The 23,132-nt window shown below is 54.5% G+C and overlaps 1 protein-coding gene across 11 annotated transcripts in view, besides 7 other annotated features; it reads left to right on the top strand.

Moving 5' to 3' along the window:
* BRF1 (BRF1 general transcription factor IIIB subunit) overlaps window positions 1-23,132 on the top strand; it is a 106,304-nt gene that overhangs the window by 20,434 nt on the left and 62,738 nt on the right. For 10 of the 11 annotated variants that reach the window (XM_047431305.1, NM_001440451.1, NM_001242787.2 and 7 more), the window contains exons 2-3: window positions 8,780-8,860; window positions 22,262-22,435. In XM_047431305.1, coding sequence (XP_047287261.1) covers window positions 22,342-22,435 — 94 coding nt within the window. In that variant the 5' untranslated portion in view covers window positions 8,780-8,860; window positions 22,262-22,341. The remainder of the gene's footprint in view (window positions 1-8,779; window positions 8,861-22,261; window positions 22,436-23,132) is intronic. The other variant, NM_001242788.2, reaches the window with a different exon arrangement.
* Window positions 894-1,023: an enhancer, noted in NCBI's record as "active region_9143". NCBI's record gives its function as "activates an Ori minimal core promoter by ATAC-STARR-seq in GM12878 lymphoblastoid cells {active_cell/tissue: GM12878}" and the evidence as "EXISTENCE:reporter gene assay evidence [ECO:0000049][PMID:35858748]".
* Window positions 1,664-1,783: an enhancer, noted in NCBI's record as "active region_9142". NCBI's record gives its function as "activates an Ori minimal core promoter by ATAC-STARR-seq in GM12878 lymphoblastoid cells {active_cell/tissue: GM12878}" and the evidence as "EXISTENCE:reporter gene assay evidence [ECO:0000049][PMID:35858748]".
* Window positions 1,934-2,083: an enhancer, noted in NCBI's record as "active region_9141". NCBI's record gives its function as "activates an Ori minimal core promoter by ATAC-STARR-seq in GM12878 lymphoblastoid cells {active_cell/tissue: GM12878}" and the evidence as "EXISTENCE:reporter gene assay evidence [ECO:0000049][PMID:35858748]".
* Window positions 8,335-9,233: an enhancer, noted in NCBI's record as "H3K4me1 hESC enhancer chr14:105752260-105753158 (GRCh37/hg19 assembly coordinates)". NCBI's record gives its function as "activates a minimal SCP1, AML or CMV promoter by ChIP-STARR-seq in naive H9 embryonic stem cells {active_cell/tissue: H9 hESC(naive)}" and the evidence as "EXISTENCE:reporter gene assay evidence [ECO:0000049][PMID:30033119]".
* Window positions 10,504-11,044: an enhancer, noted in NCBI's record as "H3K4me1 hESC enhancer chr14:105750449-105750989 (GRCh37/hg19 assembly coordinates)". NCBI's record gives its function as "activates a minimal SCP1, AML or CMV promoter by ChIP-STARR-seq in primed H9 embryonic stem cells {active_cell/tissue: H9 hESC(primed)}" and the evidence as "EXISTENCE:reporter gene assay evidence [ECO:0000049][PMID:30033119]".
* Window positions 11,588-12,129: an enhancer, noted in NCBI's record as "H3K27ac-H3K4me1 hESC enhancer chr14:105749364-105749905 (GRCh37/hg19 assembly coordinates)". NCBI's record gives its function as "activates a minimal SCP1, AML or CMV promoter by ChIP-STARR-seq in naive H9 embryonic stem cells {active_cell/tissue: H9 hESC(naive)}" and the evidence as "EXISTENCE:reporter gene assay evidence [ECO:0000049][PMID:30033119]".
* Window positions 20,053-20,956: an enhancer, noted in NCBI's record as "H3K4me1 hESC enhancer chr14:105740537-105741440 (GRCh37/hg19 assembly coordinates)". NCBI's record gives its function as "activates a minimal SCP1, AML or CMV promoter by ChIP-STARR-seq in naive H9 embryonic stem cells {active_cell/tissue: H9 hESC(naive)}" and the evidence as "EXISTENCE:reporter gene assay evidence [ECO:0000049][PMID:30033119]".

The raw sequence follows: 23,132 nt of genomic DNA, 5'->3' as shown, positions 1-23,132 counted from the left end.
TGCTTGCGTGGGATATTGGCCTGTAGTTTTTCCTGTAACGTCCTTGTCTTGGGTATCAGGGTTCTGCTCCTTATGGAATGGGTTGGGAAACGTTTCCTCTTCTATTTTCTGGAAGACATTATGTAGAGTTGGTGTTCTTTCTTTCTGAAATGTTTGGTAGAATTCACCAGCGTAGCCATCTGGTCCCAAAGCTTTCTTTCTCAGAAGATTCTGCACTGTGGTTTCGGCTTCTTTCATCACTGAGGTTCTAGTTATATTTAAGATGCTGTGTTTCACCTGGGGTGAATTAGCCGCTTGTGTTGAGGAATTGGTCCACTTGACCTAGTTGTTGAATTTGCCCAGAGAGTTGTTCGAAGCATTCCCTTATCCTTTTGATATCTGCGGGGTCCACAGTGGCCTCCTTTTTCCTTTCAGATGTTGGTGTTTTGTGTCTTTTTTTCCCTTTGTCTCTCTTGCTAGAAGTTGATCCGTGTTTTTGATCTTTTCTAAGAACTGGCTTGGGCTTCATTGAGTTTTCTCTCCTGCTCTTCCCTCCCCATCGTCTTCCATGCTCATACTCCCTGGGTATCTTCCTAGGACTGCTGGGCACAGAGTTTGCAGCTGTGTCACAGTTGCCAAGACTTGGATGTCTGTTGGGATGATAACAACAGTAATGAAAGCAAGTTGTCATGGCAGCAGACGCAGGGTTTCCCGGGCAGGCACAGTGTTAAGTGCATCCGGGCCTGGTGACAGCGCACTGCCCTCACTGTGCCCTGCCGGGGGAGGATGGTGGTGTGGAGCAGTGCAGAGCTGGAAGTCTGTCACCCGGGTGCTGTCAGAACAAGCTCAGAGCCAGCGCTGTCAGGTGGCCCCAAGACGCCTCTGAGCCCAGGCACACTCTCTGGAGGGAGGCGCAGGCCCAGCAACCAACTGTGGTGGTCCTGGGGGAAGTGCTGCGAGGCGGCGGGTTCTTAGCCCCTGGGGACCGGCGCAGGTGGTGCCTGGGCCGAGAGTGGGGAGGAGAGAGGGGATCTGTTGCTCTGGGCAGCCCCTCTGTCTCCCAGGCAGGCTCTCTAGGTGCCCACTTGGCATCCTTCCTCCCTCGTCACAGTGGTGATCACAGGGGGCTGGAAACCTTGGTGGCTTCTCAGTTTCCCTGGCACACAAGTAGGCCCCAGCCGCCCCTTCCTCCAGCTTCATCTTGAAAGCTGAGCTTTCTCTCTGAGCTGTCGTTTTCTAGTCCCAAGGCCACTGTCTTTCCTAGGTGTTTTGCCTATTAATTGAGAACTAAGCCTGATACAGCTTCGCAGTTTACTCTGGAATATTTAACTAAGGCATCAGGGCAGGTGACCAGAGGCCTCAGGAGAGTCCCCAGAGGGTCCTGACCTTGGAAGCCAGGCCCCACGGGGGAAACCACACTGGTGCTCCAGCGTCCCGGGGCACCCGAGCAGAGACTGTGCAGAGAGAAGGGTGGGTGAGGACTGAGGCTCAGCGTGGCTGGAGGGGCCAGGCAGACGGTGGAGTTGGGGGCCGTTGGCAGTGCCCTGAGGAGGCCGTCTGCTCCACTGAGGCAAGGCGGGGCTTCCCTGTGAGCCCACATCAGTGTCCTGCACTGTGTGTGCCCTGAGGCTTCCCTCTGCCAGCAGGTGATGGTGATGGCGCCCACACACCAGACATCCTGGGCTCCTGCTTGCAGGGGTCCCTCCTCGTCCTGTGCAAGGAGCAGCACACCTCAGTGTCACCAGAACTTGTGGGGGTGGGGAGCGTTTCCCGTAATCACAACTTTCAGTGGCTTCACAGTTAGAACTTCGAAGCTGGGGTGTCCGTGAGTGCTGCTGTTTTCCGTTTGGGGTCACGATGCAGCCGGACCTAATTTGTGACATGGCTGCATGTCACCTGGCGCTGGCCCTGGAGGGGGACATGGGTGGTGGAGTTGCCCTCGCCTGCTGGGAAGCTCCCTCTGCCTCAGAGAAGGATGTGACCGGCCAGCCTCTCCCTGCGGCCTGGGGTTCTGAGCATGCGCCTGGCCTCCTGGCGGGGCTCTAGTCCTGAGGGTGGAAGGCTCCAGGCTTCTGCCTCTGCTCCATGACCCCCAGAACCCTAAGTTGTGGCTGAAGGTGCCTGCTCTTAGGAAACGGGTGAATTCTGTCCCGTTGCCATCTGGGTGAGGGAGGAAGCTGCTGGTTAGCCTGCAGCGTGACACACGTCCTGTTTTCCGTAACCAAATTGTAATCACTACAAAACCAGCTCCTCCGCAGTGGCCTGGGGAAGGGGCCTGGGCTTGGGAAGGGGTCTGGACCTGGGGAGGGGATGTGGGCCTGGGGAAGGGGTGTGGGCCTGGGAAAGGGTTGCTCCTGGGAAGGGTCTGTGCCTGGGAAGGGGTGTGCGCATGGGAAGGGTCTGCGCCTGGGAAGGGGTGTGGGCTGCCGTGCTTGGCCCTGTTTGTCAGTGCTCCTCCCAGATGTCTGATGCTACTGCATCCAGCCCCACCAGTAGGCACACGCTCTGTGTTCCCGGGTCCCCGTCCCCAGCTCTCAGGGATGCACTGCGGTCTGGTCCAGCCTCCTTTGGGCACTCACCTGTGGGACCCCTGAATTCCTCTCCATCCATTACTGCCCAGCCAGCCAGGCCTCCTACAGGTGTCTCCCCTTAAAAGAAGTTTCCAGTCAGGTTTGGTAGCTCATGCTTGTAATCCCAGGATTTTGGGAAACCAAGGTGGGAGGATCACTTGAGGTCAAGAGTTTGAGACCAGCGTGGGCAACATAGTGAAACTGTCTCTACAAAAACTAAAAAAACAAAACAAGAAAAAACCCCAAAATACAAAAATTAGCTGGGCATGGTGGTGGGCGCCTGTAATCCCAGCTACTTGGGAGACTGAGGCATGAGAATCGCTTGAACCCGGGAGGTGGAGGTTGCAGTGAGCCAAGATCGTGCCATTACACTCCAGCCTGGGCGACAGGAGCGAAACTCTGTCTTGTCTTCAAAAAAACAAACAAAGAAAACAAAAAATAAGAAAACATTAGCTAGGCGTGGTGGCGCATGTCTGTGGTCCCGCCTATTTGGGAGGCTGAGGTGGGAGGATTCCTTGAGTCCGAGAGGTTGAGGCTGCAGTGAGCCGTGATGGTGCCCCTGCGCTTTAGCCTGGGTGACAGAGTGAGACTTCTTTTTTTTTCTTTTTGAGATGGAGTGTCTCTCTTGTTGCCCAGGCTGGAGTGCAATGGCGCAATCTCATCTCACTGCAGCCTCCGCCTCCCGGGTTCAAGCGATTTTCCTGCCTCAGCCTCCCAAGTAGCTGGTATTACAGGCATGTGCCACCATGCCCGGCTAATTTTTGTGTTTTTAGTAGAGACGGGGTTTCGCCATGTTGGCCAGGCTGGTCTCAAACTCCTGACCTCAGGTGATCCACCCGCCTTGGCCTCCGAAGGTGCTGGGATTACAGGCGTGAGCCACCACGCCCGGCCAGACCCTGTCTCTTAAAAAAAGGAAGTTTCACAGCAGCAACAGAAAGTCTCCAGTTAAAAAAAAATTTTTTTTTGACAGAGTCTTGGCTCACTGCAACCTCCATCTCCTGGGTTCAAGCAGTTCTCCTGCCTCAGCCTCCCGAGTAGCTGGGACTACAGGAGCACACCACCATGCCTGGCTAATTTTTTTTTTGTATGTTTTAGTAGAGACGGGGTTTCGCCCTGTTGGCCAGGCTGGTCTTGAACTTCTGACCTCAAGTGACCCACCCACATCGGCCTCCCAAAATGCCGAGATTACTGTCATGAGCCACTGAGCCCGCCCCCAGTTAAGTTGAATGAGCACGTGAATATTAAAGGTTATTGCTTTCTCATGTTGGAAGAATCCTGGTGTGAAATGGACAGTGCTGTGCTGGGTCTTTCAGGACATGGAGGGCCCCTGGCCCGCCTTTCTGTCTGTTCGGCGGTATGGGGTGTTGCTGGCTTTGTCGGAGCTCAGAGGTGCCCCTGCGGCCTCTGGCCCTGCTCTGGCTCTGGTGGAACCGCAGGTCCTCCCTTGCTGTACACAGGGGGGCAGTCTTGGCCAGGCCCCACAAGACCTGGCCCCTTCCACATGTCAGTTCCAGCTAACGGGAACTAGCACATATTTTTTGTTATAGAAACACGCTATGGAAAATACCAAATGTTTTTAGAAGTAGAGGGCATCCTGGCAGTTTCAGCCAGAGGTGGCACTTTCCTCTTTCATCCTCCCTGTGGGTTAGTGTTCTGAGGTTTCACACTGTCCACATGTGTCCTGTGTGTGTGTGCCTGCAAGTGTGCACGCACCAGGGTGTGAGGCAAGCAGAAGCCAGGAGGCGCTTCCAGAGCAGGTGCAGCAGCGTGGCCCCAGGGAGGGTGACTGTGGTGTTGGGGGACAGGGAGAACAACACAGGGACAGGAAACAGAGGTCCTGGGGTGTGAGGAGGGTATGGGAGGCTGGAGGGTGCAAGACAGAGTGATGGAGGAGGGAGGGCAGAGGTGGCAGGTGGAGCGTGGAGCTGCTGACGCATGCAGCTTTGCAGTGTGCTGTGGTGCAAGCTGATGGGTATGGGTCAAGGAGTGAAGAGATTGCGTAAAACACAACCAGAATCGAAATCATCACTGTAATTTAACGTGGCATCTCACTGTGGCCCTGTTCTGTCAGAAGCACGCCTGCAGCCCACTGTACCTAGGCAGGGAAACGTGGCTATAATGGAGGCTGTACGGCGTCCCCTGTTCTTGGAAGGTGGGGCTTCAGGGGCTTTTTATTTATTTGTTTTTGAGATGGAGTTTCGCTCTTGTTGCCCAGGCTGGAGTGCAATGGCGCGATCTCGGCTCACCACAACCTCTGCCTCCCAGGTTCAAGTGATTCTCCCGCTTCAGCCTCCTGAGTAGCTGGGATTACAGGCATGTGCCACCATGCCTGGGTAATTTCATATTTTTAGTAGACACGGGGTTTCTCCTTGTTGGTTAGGCTGGTCTCGAACTCCCAACCTCAGGTGATCCAACCGCATCGGCCTCCCAAAGTGCTGGGGTTATAGGCGTGAGCCACTGCACCCAGCTGGCTTTTTATACTTTGATCATTGTCCTTTTTCTAATGTAGTGTTATATGAGTTATTTATTAAAAGCATTATATACACTAATTAGAATATAGTGAGATTTTTCTTTTTCTAAAGTGAAAGTTGGTGAGGGAGCATGTGCTGGAGACCAGCATGCCAGGGGCTACACAGAATGGTGATCTTAATTCGAACGCTTAGAAAAAACAGGCGGGGCGTGGTGGCTCACGCCTGTAATCCCAGCACTTTGGGAGGCCGAGGTGGGTGGATCACTTGAGGTCGGGAATTCAAGGCCAGCCTGGCCAACGTGGTGAAACCTCATCTCTAGTAAAAATACAAAAATCAGCTGGGCGTGGTGGCACGCACCTGTAGTTCCAGCTACTCAGGAGGCTGAAGCAGGAGAATTGCTTGAATCCGGGAGGCGGAGGTTGCAGTGAGCCGAGATCGCACCACTACACTCCAGCCTGGGCGATAGAGCGAGACTCCGTCTCAAAAAAAAAAAGAATACACACTGCTCACAAAACAAAGAACTCTGAGGGAGGGTCGGAGTTGCAGGCACCTGGAGCTCAGCCTGGGGAGGCCTGGGCCAGATTTCTGCAGAATTTAGAATTGGCTCATCAGTGCTGCTCAAAGCCCCCTTATTCCAGGATGGGTCTCTCCTGAGTCCTGCGTTTCTCCCTGGCCTCTCTTCTGGATTCTCATATCAGCAGGCACCTCACTGTGGCCCTGCCAGGTCCTCTCCAGCCCCCACAAGGAGACACCACTGCGACCTGCTCCAGCTTCTGTTTAGTTTATTATTTGTTCAGACAGGTTCTCACCGTGTTGCTCAGGCTGGAGTGCAGAGGTGCATCACAGCTCACTGCAGCCTCCACCTTCTGGACTCAAACGATCTGCCTGCCTCAGCCACCTGAGTAGCTGGGACCACAGGCATGCCCTACCATACCCCGCTCATTTTTTTTTTGTAGAGATGGGATCTTGCTATGTTGTCCAGGCTGGTCTTGAACTCCTGGGCTCAAGCAGTCTTCCTGCCTCAGCCTCTCAAAGTGCTGTGATTACAGATGTGAGCCACTATGCCTGGCCTGTTCTAGCTTCTTTTTTTTTTTTTTTTTGAGACAGGGTCTTGCTCTGTCACCCAGGCTGGAGTGCAGTGGCACGATCTCAGCTCATTGCAGCCTCGACCTCCCGGGCTCTAGTGATCCTCCAACCTCAGCCTCCTGAGTAGTAGGACCACAAGCAGGTGCCACCACACCCAGCTAATTTTTTTCAGTTTTTTTTTGTAGAAATGGGTCTCCCCCCATCCTGGCTAACACAGTGAAACCCCGTCTCTACTAAAAACACAAAAAATTAGCCGGGCGTGGTTGCAGGCACCTGTAGTCCCAGCTACTCGGGAGGCTGAGGCAGGAGAATGGCATGAACCCAGGAGGCAGAGCTTGCAGTGAGCCAAGATCACGCCACTGCACTCCAGCCTGGGTGACAGAGCGAAACTCTGTTTCAAAAAAAAAAAAAAGAAAGAAAGAAAGAAAGAAATGGGTCTCCCCGTGTTGCCCAGGCTGGTATTGAACTCCTGGGTTGGGCGATCTTCCTGCTCCGGCCTCCCAAAGTGTTGGGACCACAGGTGTGAGCCACCATGCCCGGCCACCACTCCAGCTTCTTTTTTACTTTATTTTATTTTTATTTTTATTTTTATTTTTTTGAGACGGAGTCTTGCTCTGTCACCCAGGCTGGAGTGCAGTGGCACCATCTCTGCTCACTGCAACCTCCACCTCCTGGGTTCAAGCGATTCTCCTGCCTCAGCCTCCTGAGTAGCTGGGATCACAGGCACCCGCCACCACGCCTGGCTAATTTTGTATTTTTAGTAGAGACAGAGTTTCACCATGTTCGCCAAGATGGTCTCGATCTCCTGACCTCGTGATCCACCCACCTCGGCCTCCCAAAGTGCCGGGATTACAAGCGTGAGCCACCGCGCCCGGACCTTCTACAGCTTCTTGAAAGCCACTAGGTTTGTGGCAATTTTTATGGCAGCCACAGAAAACTAGTACATAGATCCCAGTTGTGACAACCTAGGTAGTCTCCAGGCACTGCCCCCGTCCCGGCACCACCTTTGTTGGAGGCCTGTGCTCAGTGCTGGTGCCCTGCTGCTGCTGCCGGCCACCCCTGTGGCCACGTTACCCACCAGGAGGCCGGCTCTGGGCCTCAGCCTGAAGGAGGCCCGGGCTTTGCCTCTGCTGCCACCAGGAAAAGCTGAGTGCCACCTGACCCTGTTCAGCTCTGAGTTTCCGGACGGGCCCAGTAGCTGCCCCTTGCTCTCTTCAAAACTTTTCTTGGCTGCTCTAATTCCTTTTTGCTTCCAACTGAACTTTAGAATCATTTTACTGGAGTCTTTAAAGAGTGTTGTTAGTATTTGTTTGGGATTCAGTTACATTCATTGTGAAGCCAGAGGCCGTGCCTGTTCTGCCTTGTCTGTGCTGGTGGCTGCCCCTGGATGACGCTGAGGTCCCTGCCTCATGGTTTCCCTGGAGGGCCTGGCCCCAGGCTCCAGCGATTGGCTTTCTGCTTCTGCATCCTATCCTTCCAGTGTCCTCCGACAGGCCCTACACACTTGCCTTCCCCCAAGTGGCCAAGGTTGTCTGCGCGTCCCGATTGCAGCAGCCTCCAGTCCTGTGTCTGTGCTTTGTCACAAATGCACTGGCCCCTGTGCCAACCACTGAGGGCCGACGCTGCGGGGCGGGGGGCACTTTCCAGCTCTCCCCATCTTTGGGCATGCCTGGGGCCTCACCTTACTGTTCTCGTTGGAAGATCAGGCCGCAGCGTTTGGGTTGGTGAACCTGGTGAACAATCCACATGTCCACCATGCTCATTGGGAGATCAGGCTGCAGCGATCGGGCTGGTGAACCTGGTGAACAATCCAAATGTCCACCTGATGTTTCCAGAGGTACCAGGGCCAGGTCTTAACCCCGAAGCCCTGCAGGGCAGAATGTGGTGGACGTCGTAGGCATGCTGTCAGTTGGCAGAGCTTCGGAGTAGAGTGTCCAGCAGGTTCAGCTGCAGCCTCCCCATGGGTGGGTGGACTGAGGCGTGGGGGCCTTCTGCAGACTGGCTGGTTGCAGTGCCTTGGGGCACATGGGATGGTACCTGCGTCCCCTGCAGTCCAGCAGGGAGGTGGATGTGTTCACATGTGGTCACCATGCAGGAGTGATATCTGAGTGGGCTGGCCTGGGGCAAGGGGGACGGCCAGCCCATGCTGTGTGTGCACCACTTGCAGAGGTTTGGAGGTACATCTGTGTTCTCGCCCGGCAGCCATTTGACAGCGTCCACTCTGGACTTGCAGTGTGTTAGGGACATGGTTAGAAAATGCAGAAAGTGCCTGTAATCCCAGCCGGGCGTGGTGGCGGGCACCTATAGTCCCAGCTACTTGGAAGGCTGAGGCAGGAGAATGGCGTGAACCCAGGAGGCGGAGCTTGCAGTGAGTGGAGATGGGACCACTGCACTCCAGCCTGGGCAACAGAGGGAGACTCCGTCTCAAAAAAAAAAAGAAAATGCGGAAAGTGCAGTTGGCCCACCCTCAACCCTGCTGGCTGGGCAGAGTGAGAGATGCTTCCCCCACTGGGGTTCCTGGCTCAGTGACGGAGGTGCGGGGGGCCGACCTGCTGCTTCCCCCATGAGTGCTGACCCCCGCTTTGTTCTCACTTTGTGTCTGTGGATGTTAGGAAAGGGTTGTAAATGCAGATCTCCAAGTTTTGGCTGATCTGTCTTTTTTTGTGTTTCCAGGTGCTGGCAAAACCCCGACTCTGGGTGGCGGCTTCCACGTGAATCTGGGGAAGGAGTCGAGAGCGCAGACCCTGCAGAATGGTATTTCCCACCGCGGATGCTGCTGAGCGTGCGGCGGGTCCCAGAGATGGGGATGGTGGTGCTAGGGTGGAGGGCACTGACTCAGCCATGGACCTCATGGCCTGCCACTTCCTCGTCACCCTGCACGCCCAGCCCAGGCTGCTTTCCAGGAGGAATTGTGCCCTGAGTCCCCTCCTGGGTGTCCTGCAGACTCTGCCAGGGCTGTTTGGGGAGAACCCAGTGGATCCCACAGGATCCACAGCCATTGCTTGATGGCCTCAGTGAGATGGAGGCAGAAATAACACATTTATAGCAGTTGGATATTGTAGTGACATTCTCACTGCGTTTTGTCAAAGTGCCAGTTCACCACAAACTGGAGAAATGTCTGCTGGGTTATTTGTCTTATGATTGAGTTGAAAAAGTTCTTTATGTGTTTTAGGTACAAGTCTTTTATCGGATGTGTGATTTTATATATTTTAGGTGCAAGTCGTTTATCGGATGTGTGATTTTATGTGTTTTAGGTACAAGTCTTTTATCGGATGTGTGATTTATAGGACATTTTCAGCCATTTCATGCGTTCTTTTCATTTTCTTTTGTCTTTTTATTTTTCGCTGGTATCCTTTGGAGCATGAAAGTTTTAAATTCTGATAGTATCCAGTTTACCTATTTAGTCTCTTGATGGCTGTGCTTTTGGTATCATAACTAACAAATGTTGCCTAATCCAGTCCAAATCGTGAAGATTTGTGCTTATGATTTTTTGGAGTTTTGCGCCTTCCTCTCTTTCCAGTAGGTTTTGGTCCATATTGAGTCAGCGTTTGCATGTGATGTAAGGTAAGGGCCTGCCTTCACTCCTGCACGTGCAGACCCAGTTTTCTCAGGACCATGTGTTGAAAACACTGTATTTTGCCAGTTGGCATCCTCTTGGTGCCCTTGCTGAAAATCGATTGACCGTAAACCTAAAAGCTCATTTCTGGATCCTCAGTTTGGCTTAGTGACTGCATGACAGTCCTGGTGCCCGTTCCACGCTGTTCAGGACACTGAAGCTTCGCAGTCAGTTTTGAAATCAGGAACTGTGAGTCCTCTAACTGCTCTCTTTCAAAAGTGTTATGCTGCCTGTTTGAAGTCCCTTGAGTGGCAATATGAATTTTAGGATCAGCTTGTCAGTTTCTGCCAAGAAGTCAGCTGGGATTTTGACGGGGATTGCGTTAATATGTTGGTCATTTTGGGGAACACTGCCGCCTAAACAGTGTAAAGTCTTCTGATACCTGAATACAGGATTTCTTTCCATTTATTTGGGTCTTCTTTAATTTGTTTCAACAATTTTATTAGTTCTCAGAGTATAAGTTTTGTACTTCTTTTGTCGAATTTAGTCTCAGTTGATATGTATTGATCTTGTATCTTGCAGCCTGGCTGAACTCATTTTTTATGCTGAATAGTTTTTTAGCGGATCACTTAGGATTTTCGGTACAAGATCGTGTTATCTTTCCTTTCTAGTCTAGTGCCTGTTTTTTGTTTTTGTTTTTTTTGTTTACCACATTGAATAGCAGTGGTGTGAACAGACATCCTCTTGTCCTTGATCCTGGGGAAGCATCCAGTCTTCACCATTGAGTGTGGGTTGGCCGTGGGTCAGTCCAGGCAGGGATACTTTGTGCTAGGATCTCTTTGGCTTCACTGTTTCATTGAGTACACTCTCAGGAACCTGAGGACCACGTGAGGGATTCTTGTGATCGGTGCAGCCATGTCCTGCAGCCTTAGTGTGGATGCTGGAAGGTGGTCGGGACAGGTAGAACATCTCTTGTGGACAGCACGTCACCCTGGCTGTTTTCTCCTGGGCCATCTCCAGGAGGCCGGGCTCTTGAGCACCTGCCTCTGCTCCTGGCTGCTGCTGCCGACGGGTGGCCAGCACCGACACACCTAGGCTGGCAGGGGTAGTTGGGCTTGCGATGATCCCTCACAGCAGAGTGGATGGATCCTTACGCTTCCCTTGTGCTTTTTTCCTTGTCCTGCTGTGGACTTACTAGTAGAGGAGTATAGTCAGCGCCTTTCTTCCTGACTGCCGGTGTGATTCTTCTGCAGTAGAGAGCACCCTCTGTGTGATTTCAGTCTTCGGAAATGCTTCGAGCCGTGGCCGGGTGGAAGGCCAGTTTTGTGGACGTGCATGTGTGTTGGGCGCTTGAATGCGTTTCCTGCAGGAAGCGGGTGCAGCGCAGCACATCCCTCTTCCTCTCCACTGGCTGGTTCTCTGTGTCTGCCACCGAGAGTGTGCATGAAGACCTGGCACAGTGACTGGATCCGTCCTGTCCTACCCACAGTTTTGTCAGTTTTTTGTTTTGTCTGTTTCAGGGCTTCCTGGCACACACGTTTACAGTTCCTCCAGGTGGGGGCTGGGGCTGCGCTGCCCAGGGGCCCTCCTGACCTCAGGCTGCCTGGGTTGGGGCCCAGCTCTGCCCATTGCTTGTGGTGCCACTAGGCTATCTCCTTTTTTTCTTCTACTGACTTCAAGATTTTCTCCATGTGAAGAGCTTTGTTCTCCACAGAGAATGTAGTCTGTATTTTCCCAAAAACTCGCGGTATCTTTACTAGAGTTGGTCGTGCCTCAGACCTATACAAATTGCAAAGAGTAGTGTCGGTGCAGACGCGTGCATTGCAATAGGATTGGAAACCAACAACAGAGAAAGAGAAATGGCTCATCTTACCTTTTCAAAAGCCTTTTAAATACCTTTGGTTCAAGAAAGAAATGAAAATTGGAACATACATGCTCCCTAATTAGGGGTGAGTGTCAGTGAAGGTTGTGACCTGCAGGCCCAGGAGGCCCCGTGGACCCCACTCACTGTGTGGGGGAAGCTGCGGGGCCCCCACCCCTCTTGAGTCTTACTGGGGATGGGTGGTTCTGGGGGACCCTATGCTGATCTTTGTACCTGGGTTCCCACCTGAGGTTCTGCAGCTGCAGCCTGGGTACCTGCAGCATCAGGGGCCATGCCCTGCTGCCCACTCAGTGAGCTCTCCCACCCGCCTGCCCCGGGCCAGGCACCGCTCCTGCCTGGGTGGGGTGTGGGGCTGAGGGAGGCCATTGGTCCAGCCCCTGTCCTGTTTCCTGCTGACTTTTCGCCGGAGTCGTCCCTTTTGCTGCCAGTCAGGCCCCCTGCTGTGGCAGTGATGTCCTCCTCTGCCTTGGCTGGCTGGGCCCGCCGTACCTCCTTGCTGTCGAGTGTCCTGGGAGCATGTCTGTGAGGCAGATCCTAACGTATTTTTCAAATACTTCTGGAGACACAAGAGGGGATTTTGGCCCATTATAACTGGCACATTTCTGATGCTTTGGGCTCTTCCTGCCTCTTATTTTGTATTTCGTATTTATCTTACCTTTTGTTTGTTTGTTTGTTTTTTGAGATGGAGTCTCGCTCTGTCACCCAGGCTGGAGTGCAGTGGCGCGATCTGGGCTCACTGCAACCTCCGCCTCCTGGGTTCAAGCTACTCTCCTGCCTCAGCCTCCCGAGTAGCTGGAGTTACAAGTGCCCACCATCACGCCCGGCTAATTTTTGTATTTTTAGTAGAGACGTGGTTTTGCCATGTTGGCCAGGCTTATCTCGAACTCCTGACCTCAGGTGATCCACCCGCCTTGGCCTCCCAAAGTGCTTGAATTAGAGGTGTGAGCCACTACACCTGGCTGTATTTATCTTACTTTTAAAAAACCCTTTATTTTGATTGATTGATTTATCATGGGTTATGTTTGTTTAAATTTTGTTTATTCTCCTTTGTTCTCCCCATACCGCCTTGGTTGAAGTTTTCATATCAGCCCTGGTCCCGCTGCAAGCTTGGCCCACGGCCTCCACTCCCGCCCGCCACCCAGCCTGCCAGGTTTGGTGGAAATCTGTGAATGTAGCTTCCGACTGTTACTGTTTTGGTGAAGTCTTGATTGCCTTTCTTAGAAAACTGCAAAGATGGAAATAAACTCACGGGCCACCCTTCCTGCCCGCAGCGACAGTCATGTTCTGCGAGGACTCTGTCTCCTCTGCTTGCCTCCGTGCACCCTGCGAGGTCACAGGCCCCTCCTTTGGTTTGCTGGGGACACGCTGAGACTGTATTTAGAGAAAGGGTCTGGGAGAGAGAAACTCCTGCCCCTTCCCCCTGGGATGGTTGCCAAGGGGTTGAGACAGGCACCCCATGGAATGTGGGGAGCATCTGCTCCGGGTCCACCAGCAAGAGACGTTGAATGCCAGTGTGTTTTGATCTCTGTTTTTAAAATCTCAGGCCTTTTGGGATGATTTCTTTGATGTTCTGAAGCGACGGTTCTGAAATGCCGCTAGGTGGGGCTCTCTTCATTGACCTGATGAGCCTTTCGTTTGGGACGCGTTTCTCAGGGAAATTCTTTTTCTGTTCTCTTGGTCTGTTTTTCCTAGTATAGCACGCATAGTAAAGTGCATGAAATGTGCTGACCTTCCATGAACCACCTGACAAATCCACATGAGTCAGGCCTGCAGCAGCTCAGAAAGCACCTGCTGCCCACTGGCTTCACTTGGTTTTCTGCTTCATACAGTGGGAATCATATAGAAAGGAATTTAAAAAAAAAAAAAAGACTTGTAATTTTTAGAGCATTTTAGGTTCACAGCAAAATGGATCGGCAGAGAGTTCCTGTAGACTCTGAGCACCTCCCACCACACAGCTTCCCCTGACCCCGTCAGTGCCCCCCTCCACTGTGGTGCACGAGCTGCAGTCAGCCGCCCCACATCGACTCATCAGGATCACGCAGGCTCTGTCCACACACCCGGGCTCAGGATCACGCAGGCTCTGTCCACACACCCGGGCTCAGGGTCACGCAGGCTGTATCCGCACACCTGGGCTCAGGGTCACGCAGGCTGTATCCACACACCCGGGCTCAGGATCACACGGCCTCCACCTCACACCTGGGCTCAGGATCACGCAGCCTGTATCCACACACCCGGGCTCAGGGTCACACAGGCTGTATCCGCACACCTGGGCTCAGGATCACGCAGGCTGTATCCACACACCCGGGCTCAGGATCACACAGGCTGTATCCACACACCCGGGCTCAGGGTCACGCAGGCTGTATCCACACACCCGGGCTCAGGATCACGCAGGCTGTATCCACACACCCGGGCTCAGGATCACACGGCCTCCACCTGCACACCTGGGCTCAGGATCACGCAGCCTGTATCCACACACCCGGGCTCAGGGTCACGCAGGCTGTATCCACACACCTGGGCTCAGGGTCACGCAGGCTGTATCCGCACACCTGGGCTCAGGGTCACGCAGGCTGTATCCACACACCTGGGCTCAGGGTCACGCAGGCTGTATCCACACACCCGGGCTCAGGGTCACGCAGGCTCTGTCCACACACCTGGGCTCAGGGTCACGCAGGCTCTGTCCACACACCTGGGCTCAGGGTCACGCAGGCTGTATCCGCACACCTGGGCTCAGGGTCACGTGGGCTGTATCCACACACCCGGGCTCAGGGTCATGCAGCCTCCACCTGCACACCTGGGCTCAAGATTATGCAGCCTCCACCTGCACACCCAGGCTCAGGGTCACGTGGGCTATATCCGCACACCCGGGCTCAGGGTCACGCGGGCTGTATCCGCACACCCGGACTCAGGATCACGCAGCCTTCACCGCACAGCCGGGCTCAGGATCATGCAGCCTCCACCTGCACACGCAGGCTCAGGATCACACAGCCTCCACCTGCACACGCGGGCTCAGGATCATGCAGCCTCCACCTGCGCACGCGGGCTCAGGATCATTCAGGCTGTATCTGCACACCTGGGCTCAGGATCACGCAGCTTCCACCACACACCCAGGCTCACGCTGGGCGGTGCGTGTTCTATGGGTTTAGATGAATGCGTAGTGACGGGTAACCACTGTTACAGTTTCATACAGAGTGCTTTCAGAGTCCTAAAGATCCCCTGAGCTCCACCCATTCATCCCTCCTTCCCCAGCCTCCAGCAACCATTGATCTTTTCACCGGCGCTTGGTCATGTGGTCGTAGAGCTGGAGTTGCACACTGTGCATCCTTTCTCTGTGCAGCCTGTCACTCAGCCATGGGCATTTAACTGTCCTCCAGGTCTCTGCACAGCCTGTGGCCTCTTTCTCTTTAGTGGTGAGTAATATTCCACCGCCTAGGTGCGCCACAGTTGATTTATCCTTTCACCTGCTTGCTGAAGGGAATCTGGGCTTGGGCGATTATGAGTGAAGCTGCTGTAAACGTCACGTGCAGGTTTTTCTGAGTGATTGCTGGGTGGTGTGGTGAGAGTATGCTGAGTTTTGTAAGAAACTGCCAAACCCTTTTCCAAAGCACCTGAGCCATTTTGTGCTCCCAGCAGCAAGGAAGGAGAGCTCCTGTGGCTCTAGTCGTCCGCATCTGGCTTGCCAGTGTCTGGGCTGGAGCCGTTCTAGAACGTGCTGTTTTGGAGCGTGTAAGTAGTTTATTCTTTTATTGCAATGTAGTATTTCATGGGATGAATAGACCACAGTTTATCTCCTTTTCCTGTTGATGGACGTCTAGGGTGTTTCCATTCTTGGCTGTGCACAGGAAGCTGCTGTGCGTGTTCTTGCACCTGGTCCTTCGGTGGACACAGGTGCCCCCTCCGCTTGGGAGTTTACCTGCGAATGGGTGTCTGGGTCCTGAGGTCTGGGTGTGCTCATCATTAGATAGGGCCACAGGGTTTTCTGTAGTGCTTGTACCAGTTCATGTTCCCACCAGGAAGCAGTGTAGGAGAGTCCCAGTGGCTCCGCAGCCTTGTTCACATGTGGCATCATCAGCCTTTCCAGTTGTAGTCTTTCTGGTAGGTGTGTAGCACACTCGCTGCGGCATTAATTCGCTTTCCCTGGTGAGTAATTATGGCCACAACCTTTGCTCATGCTTCTTGGCTGTTGGGACGTCCTTTCTGTGTGAAGTGCCTATTGGCGTCTTTTGTGCTTTTTAAAAACTGAGTTGTCTTTTTCTTACAGATTTGTAGAGTTCTTTATATATTCTGGATTCGAGTCCTTTGTTGGATATACATGTTTCGAATCCTCCTCCCACGTCTGTAGCTTGTCTCACTCTCTTAATGTTGTCTTTTGACGAACAGAAACTTCTGAATTTTTTTTTTTGAGACTGGGTCTCACTCACTCTGTGGTCCGGGCTGGAGTGCAGTGGTGCAGTCGATGCTCCTTGCAGCCTCAACCTCCCAGACTAAAGCCGCCCTCTCACTTCAGCCTCCCGAGTAGTTGGGATCACGTGTACATGCCACCACATCCACTCATTTTTAATTTTTTTCTTTGACATGGAGTCTCACTCTTTTGCCAGACTGGAGTGCAGTGGCGCGATCTCGGCTCACTGCAGCCTCTGCCTCATGGGTGCAAGCGATTCTCCTGCCTTAGCCTCCCGAGTAGCTGGGATTACAGGTGTGCACCACCATGCCCGGCTAATATTTGTACTTTTTAGTAGAGACGGGGTTTCACCATGTTGGTCAGGATGGTCTCGATCTCTTGACCTCGTGATCTGCCCGCCTCGGCCTCCCAAAGTGTTGGGATTACCGGCATGAGCCACTGCGCACGGCCAATTCTTTTTTTTTTTTAAATAGAGATGGGGGTCTCACCATGTTGGCCAGGTTGGTCTTCAACTCCTGGGCTCCAGTGATCCTCCCACCTCAGCCTCCCAAAGTGCTGGGATGACAGGTGTGAGCCACTGCACCCTGCCAGAAATTTCTTAATTATAATGAAGTCCCAGTATATCAGTTTTTATGGTTAGGGCTGTTTGTGACTTGTTCAAGAAATTCTTATCTACTCCAAGGTCTGAAGATACTCTTGTGTTTTCCTCTGGAAGCTTTATTGCTTTATACTTTACATGTAAGTGGTGATATGCCTCAAATCTTTTTTTTTTTTTTTGGAGACAGGGTCTCGCTCTCTTGCTGCCCAGGCTGGACTGCAGTGGCAGGATCATGGCTCACTGCAGCCTCAACCTTCCAAGCTCAAGCAGTCCTCCTACCTTGGCTGGGCCTACAGGCTTGCACCACCACACCTGGCTGATTATTTTAGCAGTTGGATCTCACTATGTTGCCCAGGCTGGTCTTGAACTTCTGGGCTCAAGTGATCTACCTGCTTCAGCCTCCCGAAGTGCTGGGATTACTACAGGCATGAGCCACGGCACACAGCCTGAGTTTACTTTTAGAATTCATTTGTTGGAAGGAAGTCTAAGGAGACTCGCAGGCTATGGCTAGCTAATTAGTAGTTGGTTTCTATGTGAATATCTGTTTATTAATAACATATTTGGCCAGGCACAGTGGCTCATGCTTGTATCCCAGCACTTTGGGAGGCGGAGATGGGTGGATCACAAGGTCAGGAGTTCGAGACCATCCTGGCCAACAGTGTGAAACCCTGTCTGTACTAAAAATACAAAAAATTAGCTGGGTGCAGTGGCATGTGCCTGTAGTCCCAGCTACTCAAGAGGCTGAGGCAGGAGAATCACTTGAACCCGGGAAGCAGAGGTTGCAGTGAGCTGAGATCGCACCACTGCACTCTAGCCTGGGTGACAGAGCGAGACTCCATCTCAAAAAAGAGAAAGAAGATGGTAAAAAATAACTTACTGCAGTCATCATAAGCCCCCATTTTAGTCCTTTTGGGCTGCTGTAACAGAACACCATAGACCAGAAAGGCAAAACAGCAGGAATGTGTTTCTCACACTTTTGGAGCTGGAAAGTTTGAGCTGGAGATGGGGGAGACAGTTGCCTCCTCCCCAGCTCTCTAGTGAGGGCCGCCTCTCAGCTCCTTCTCACTGTGGCCTCCTCCCCAGCTCTCTAGTGAGGGCCGCCTCTCAGCTCCTTCTCACTGTGGCCTCCTCCCCAGCTCTCTAGTGAGGGCCCCCTCTCAGCTCCTTCTCACTGTGGCCTCCTCCCCAGCTCTCTAGTGAGGGCCGCCTCTCGGCTCCTTCTCACTGTGGCCTCCTCCCCAGCTCTCTAGTGAGGGCCCCCTCTCAGCTCCTTCTCACTGTGGCCTCCTCCCCAGCTCTCTAGTGAGGGCCGCCTCTCGGCTCCTTCTCACTGTGGCCTCCTCCCCAGCTCTCTAGTGAGGGCCCCCTCTCAGCTCCTTCTCACTGTGGCCTCCTCCCCAGCTCTCTAGTGAGGGCCCCCTCTCAGCTCCTTCTCACTGTGGCCTCCTCCCCAGCTCCCTAGTGAGGGCCCCCTCTCGGCTCCTTCTCACTGTGGCCTCCTCCCCAGCTCTCTAGTGAGGGCCGCCTCTCGGCTCCTTCTCACTGTGGCCTCCTCCCCAGCTCTCTAGTGAGGGCCGCCTCTCGGCTCCTTCTCACTGTGGCCTCCTCCCCAGCTCTCTAGTGAGGGCCCCCTCTCAGCTCCTTCTCACTGTGGCCTCCTCCCCAGCTCCCTAGTGAGGGCCCCCTCTCGGCTCCTTCTCACTGTGGCCTCCTCCCCAGCTCTCTAGTGAGGGCCGCCTCTCGGCTCCTTCTCACTGTGGCCTCCTCCCCAGCTCTCTAGTGAGGGCCGCCTCTCGGCTCCTTCTCACTGTGGCCTCCTCCCCAGCTCTCTAGTGAGGGCCGCCTCTCAGCTCCTTCTCACTGTGGCCTCCTCCCCAGCTCTCTAGTGAGGGCCGCCTCTCGGCTCCTTCTCACTGTGGCCTCCTCCCCAGCTCTCTAGTGAGGGCCGCCTCTCAGCTCCTTCTCACTGTGGCCTCCTCCCCAGCTCTCTAGTGAGGGCCCCCTCTCGGCTCCTTCTCACTGTGGCCTCCTCCCCAGCTCTCTAGTGAGGGCCGCCTCTCGGCTCCTTCTCACTGTGGCCTCCTCCCCAGCTCTCTAGTGAGGGCCCCCTCTCGGCTCCTTCTCACTGTGGCCTCCTCCCCAGCTCTCTAGTGAGGGCCGCCTCTCGGCTCCTTCTCACTGTGGCCTCCTCCCCAGCTCTCTAGTGAGGGCCCCCTCTCAGCTCCTTCTCACTGTGGCCTCCTCCCCAGCTCTCTAGTGAGGGCCGCCTCTCGGCTCCTTCTCACTGTGGCCTCCTCCCCAGCTCTCTAGTGAGGGCCGCCTCTCGGCTCCTTCTCACTGTGGCCTCCTCCCCAGCTCTCTAGTGAGGGCCCCCTCTCGGCTCCTTCTCACTGTGGCCTCCTCCCCAGCTCTCTAGTGAGGGCCGCCTCTCGGCTCCTTCTCACTGTGGCCTCCTCCCCAGCTCTCTAGTGAGGGCCGCCTCTCGGCTCCTTCTCACTGTGGCCTCCTCCCCAGCTCTCTAGTGAGGGCCCCCTCTCAGCTCCTTCTCACTGTGGCCTCCTCCCCAGCTCTCTAGTGAGGGCCGCCTCTCAGCTCCTTCTCACTGTGGCCTCCTCCCCAGCTCTCTAGTGAGGGCCCCCTCTCAGCTCCTTCTCACTGTGGCCTCCTCCCCAGCTCTCTAGTGAGGGCCGCCTCTCAGCTCCTTCTCACTGTGGCCTCACGTGGTAGAAGAGCTGGGCTAGTTCTCTGGGGTCCGGTTTTTAAGGGCACTGAGCTCATCATTAGTGCTCTGCCTCCTGACCTAGTCTCCCGCAAAGGCCCTGCATCTTAATACCATCCCCGTAGGGGATAGGATTTCAACATAGGAATTTTAGGAGTCAGACATTCTGACCATAGCAGCCCTGCATGCTGGGAACACGAGCTGGTGCCTGTGGGGTCGGGGCTTGGGATCGAGTCCCAGCCTCAAGTGTGTGGCCTCAGAGAGTACCTCTCTCTTACCTTTTATTACAGAATTTTCAAACATACAGCAGAGAGCTGGTAGGTAAGGAGCCGTAGCTTCAGCGGGTCCCCTGTCAGCTGACTCTGTTTCCCTCTGGGCCTTGCTGGGCCGCGGGGACGGTCTGTGCTGGTGTGTCTGGCTGGTGCTGCACATGTGCAGGTGGCAGCTGGCACGATGCCCTTTCTGTCCATTCTTTTGGGGTCTTGGCTTGGCCCAGGCCTCAGCTCTGGGGACAGTGACCAGCCTTCCACGTCAGCTCAGCTGGACTGCAGGCCTCAGAGCTGTATGAGCTCTAGGCAGGTGGCCTTAGGTGCTCAAGGTGGCAGGGCCACAGCCGGGCTGGGGGCTCCATGTGATGCTGCTGACTGCCAGGGGCCTGGCAGTGTGAGGCTTGACCTGGACCTGCCAGACTGTGTACCCTGGCCACCGGCTTCCTTGGGATGCAGGCTCAGCAGCTGCCCACCTCTGGCTGCTGGTCATCATTAGTGAAGTTTGGCGTGAGCAAAACATCAGCCCTCACTTTCTCCAGCTCATGTGCCCTTATCAAATAAATCTGGGAGGTCAGTTTTTGACTTTATATGGGGATGGAGGCCGCCTCAGGTAGTCTTTGCAGGAGGACTGTGGGTTTGGGTGCCAGAGGATGCAGTGGGAACTGGAATCTCCATGGCGGCAGCATTCCTCTGCATCGAGCCGTGACCCACCACACATGTCCTCTGGGTACCCCATGGGGCTAATTGCCTGGAGCAAGGACTCTGCCTGCCCACGACGCCCACTGTGCAGACAGAAGTGGGGGCAGTAAAGTTGGCTCAGGTGCTCCCCACACAGCCTGTGCTCTGCAGACAGAAGTGGGGGCAGTGAGGTTGGCCCAGGTGCTCCCCACACAGCCTGTGCTCTGCAGACAGAGTGGGGCAGTGAGGTTGGCCTGTACTCTGCATTGACATTTGTTTCCCAAGGTTCCTCCTGCCTGCAGGGCAGCTTTGCCATTTCCCTCCTGATGCCATCATGTGGCCCGCAGCTTTGGGAGGGTCTTGCTCCAGGGAGGCGCGTGTGCTCGGATGTTGCCGTCCTGGCCACCTCCAGCACCTCGCAGCCCCTAGGAGGGCGCAGTGGCCTCCGGTCTGCTGGGCATGCCCTTACCATGGTGAAGGGGTGGCCTGCCCCTCCACACCTGTGGGTATATCTCGTCAGGTGGGACGAGAGACTGAGAAAAGAAATGACACAGAGACAAAGTATAGAGAAAGAACAGTGGGGCCAGGGGACCGGCACTCAGCATACCAAGGACCTGCACCGGCACCGGTCTCTGAGTTCCCTCAGTTTTTATTGATTATTATTTTCACTATCTCAGCAAGAAGAATGCGGCAGGAGAGCAGGGTGATAGTGGGGAGAAGGTCAGCAAGAAAACATGTGAACCAAATAATCTGTGTCATAATTAAGTTCAAGGGAAGGTACTATGCCTGGATGTGCACATAGGCCAGATTTATGTTTCTCTCCGCCCAAACATCTCAGCGGAGTAAAGAATAACAAGGCAGTATTGCTACCAACGTGTCTAATCTCCCGCCATAGGGCGGTTTTTCTCCTATCTCAGAATTGAACAAGTGTACAATCGGGTTTTATATCGAGACATTCAGTTCCCAGGGGCAGGCAGGAGACAGAGGCCTTCCTGTATCTCAACTGCAAGAGGCCTTCCTCTTTTACCAATCCACCTCAGCACAGACCCTTCACGGGTGTCGGGCTGGGGGACGGTCAGGTCTTTCTCATCCCACGAGGCCATATTTCAGACTATCACATGGGGAGAAACCGTGGACAATACCCGGCTTTCCAGGGCAGAGGTCCCTGCAGCTTTCCGCAGTGTATTGTGCCCCTGGTTCATCGAGACTGGAGAATGGCGATGACTTTTACCAAGCATACTGCCTGTGAACACTTTGTTAACAAGGCACGTCCTGCACAGCCCTAGATCCCTGAAACCTTGATTCCATACAGCACAGGTTTCTGTGAGCTCCAGGTTGGGGCAAAGTGGCTGGGGCAGAGTTACAGATTAACACCTCAGGGCAAAGCAGTTGTTCAGGGCACAGGTCAAAATGGAGTCTCTTATGTCTTCCCTTTCTGCATAGACACAGTAACAGTCTGACCTCTCTTCCTTTTCCCTACACCATGGCCCTCCCTCTGGGCAGGTGCAGGGGATGGCGCTAGCCTGGCTTTTTCTCAGGCCGGGTGGCTGGCTCTTAGAGGAGAGGCTGGCGGGCGCAGGGCTGAGCAGAATGGGCCCTGCTGAGAAGGGACGGGTGGGCTGACCCAGACTCTGTGCGGTTGGGGAAGGCGGTGGCGCTGGGGCATGTGGCTGTAGGAAAAGGGGCATTCCCACTGTAGCCCAGGGCAGTCAGGGGCATAGCACCTGCCAGCCAGCCCAAACCAAGCCCTTGCCAGACACGCCGCACCTCAGAGCCCTGGAGAGAGGCACATTCAGCCACACCGCACACGCCACTCAGAGCCTAAAGAAGGGAAACAGGTAGAACAGGATCTCATGGCACATGGAGATCACAGAAAATTCACATTTCAGTGTCCTTAAATAAAAAGTGATTGGAACCCACATATAAAAAGTGAGCTCAGAAACTTACAAGGAAAAGCACAAATCTATATTCTTAAAGTTGCTGCTGTGGCCGTGTGATACTTTTCATGTTCTGTGGGAACATTTGGCTAAGAGCTGCCTCGTGCTGTGTCCTAGGGAGGCGCCACATCCACCACCTGGGGAACCAGCTGCAGCTGAACCAGCACTGCCTGGACACCGCCTTCAACTTCTTCAAGATGGCCGTGAGCAGGCACCTGACCCGCGGCCGGAAGATGGCCCACGTGATTGCTGCCTGCCTCTACCTGGTCTGCCGTACGGAGGGCACGCCGCGTATCCTTTGGTTTGAGAGCCTCCCAGAGGGCCCCATCTTGATGCTTAGTTGGCTCCCCTCGAATATTGGGACTTGGTAGTTGCAGTAACTTGGTGTTTGTCTTTAATAGAAAAACACCTTACTGGAAGAACTGTTTCAGTTGATCCAGGGCTTTCTGAATTTGGGGTCTCCTTTTACTGGATCGAAGAACTGGGGAGCTGGGCACCTGCCTTCCTCGCACAGCCCTTGGGCATGCAGAGCGAGGGTTCTGTCGGTGCCTGAGAATCATGCCCTGGATTCTCCCCACTTGTGGACCTACTGCGCCTTGGGTGCTGTCTCCACGTCCCCTGTGGTTCAGGCCGCCCTCTGGCCTGAGCAGGTGGGGTGCTGTTGCTGAGTGGGCTGCAGCCAGGCGTACACCGAGTGCCTGCAGCTGTGGACACCGTGACTGTGGGCGATGGGTGGGGAGGCCGCCGACCCTCAGCGGTGTGCAGCTCGGCCTTGTGCGTGGATACCGTGACTGCAGGCCGTGGGTGGGGAGGCCGCCGACCCTCAGCGGTGTGCAGCTTGGCCTTGTGTGTGGACACCGTGACCGCAGGCGGTGGGCGAGGAGGCCCCCGACCCTCAGCGGTGTGCAGCTTGGCCTTGTGCGTGGACACCGTGACTGCAGGCGGTGGGCGGGGAGGCCGCCGACCCTCAGCGGTGTGCAGCTTGGCC

The sequence above is a fragment of the Homo sapiens genome, chromosome 14 (assembly GCF_000001405.40).
Source record: "Homo sapiens chromosome 14, GRCh38.p14 Primary Assembly".
NCBI classification, from domain to species: Eukaryota; Metazoa; Chordata; class Mammalia; order Primates; family Hominidae; genus Homo; species Homo sapiens.
This window is presented reverse-complemented; position numbering and strand designations above follow the sequence as displayed.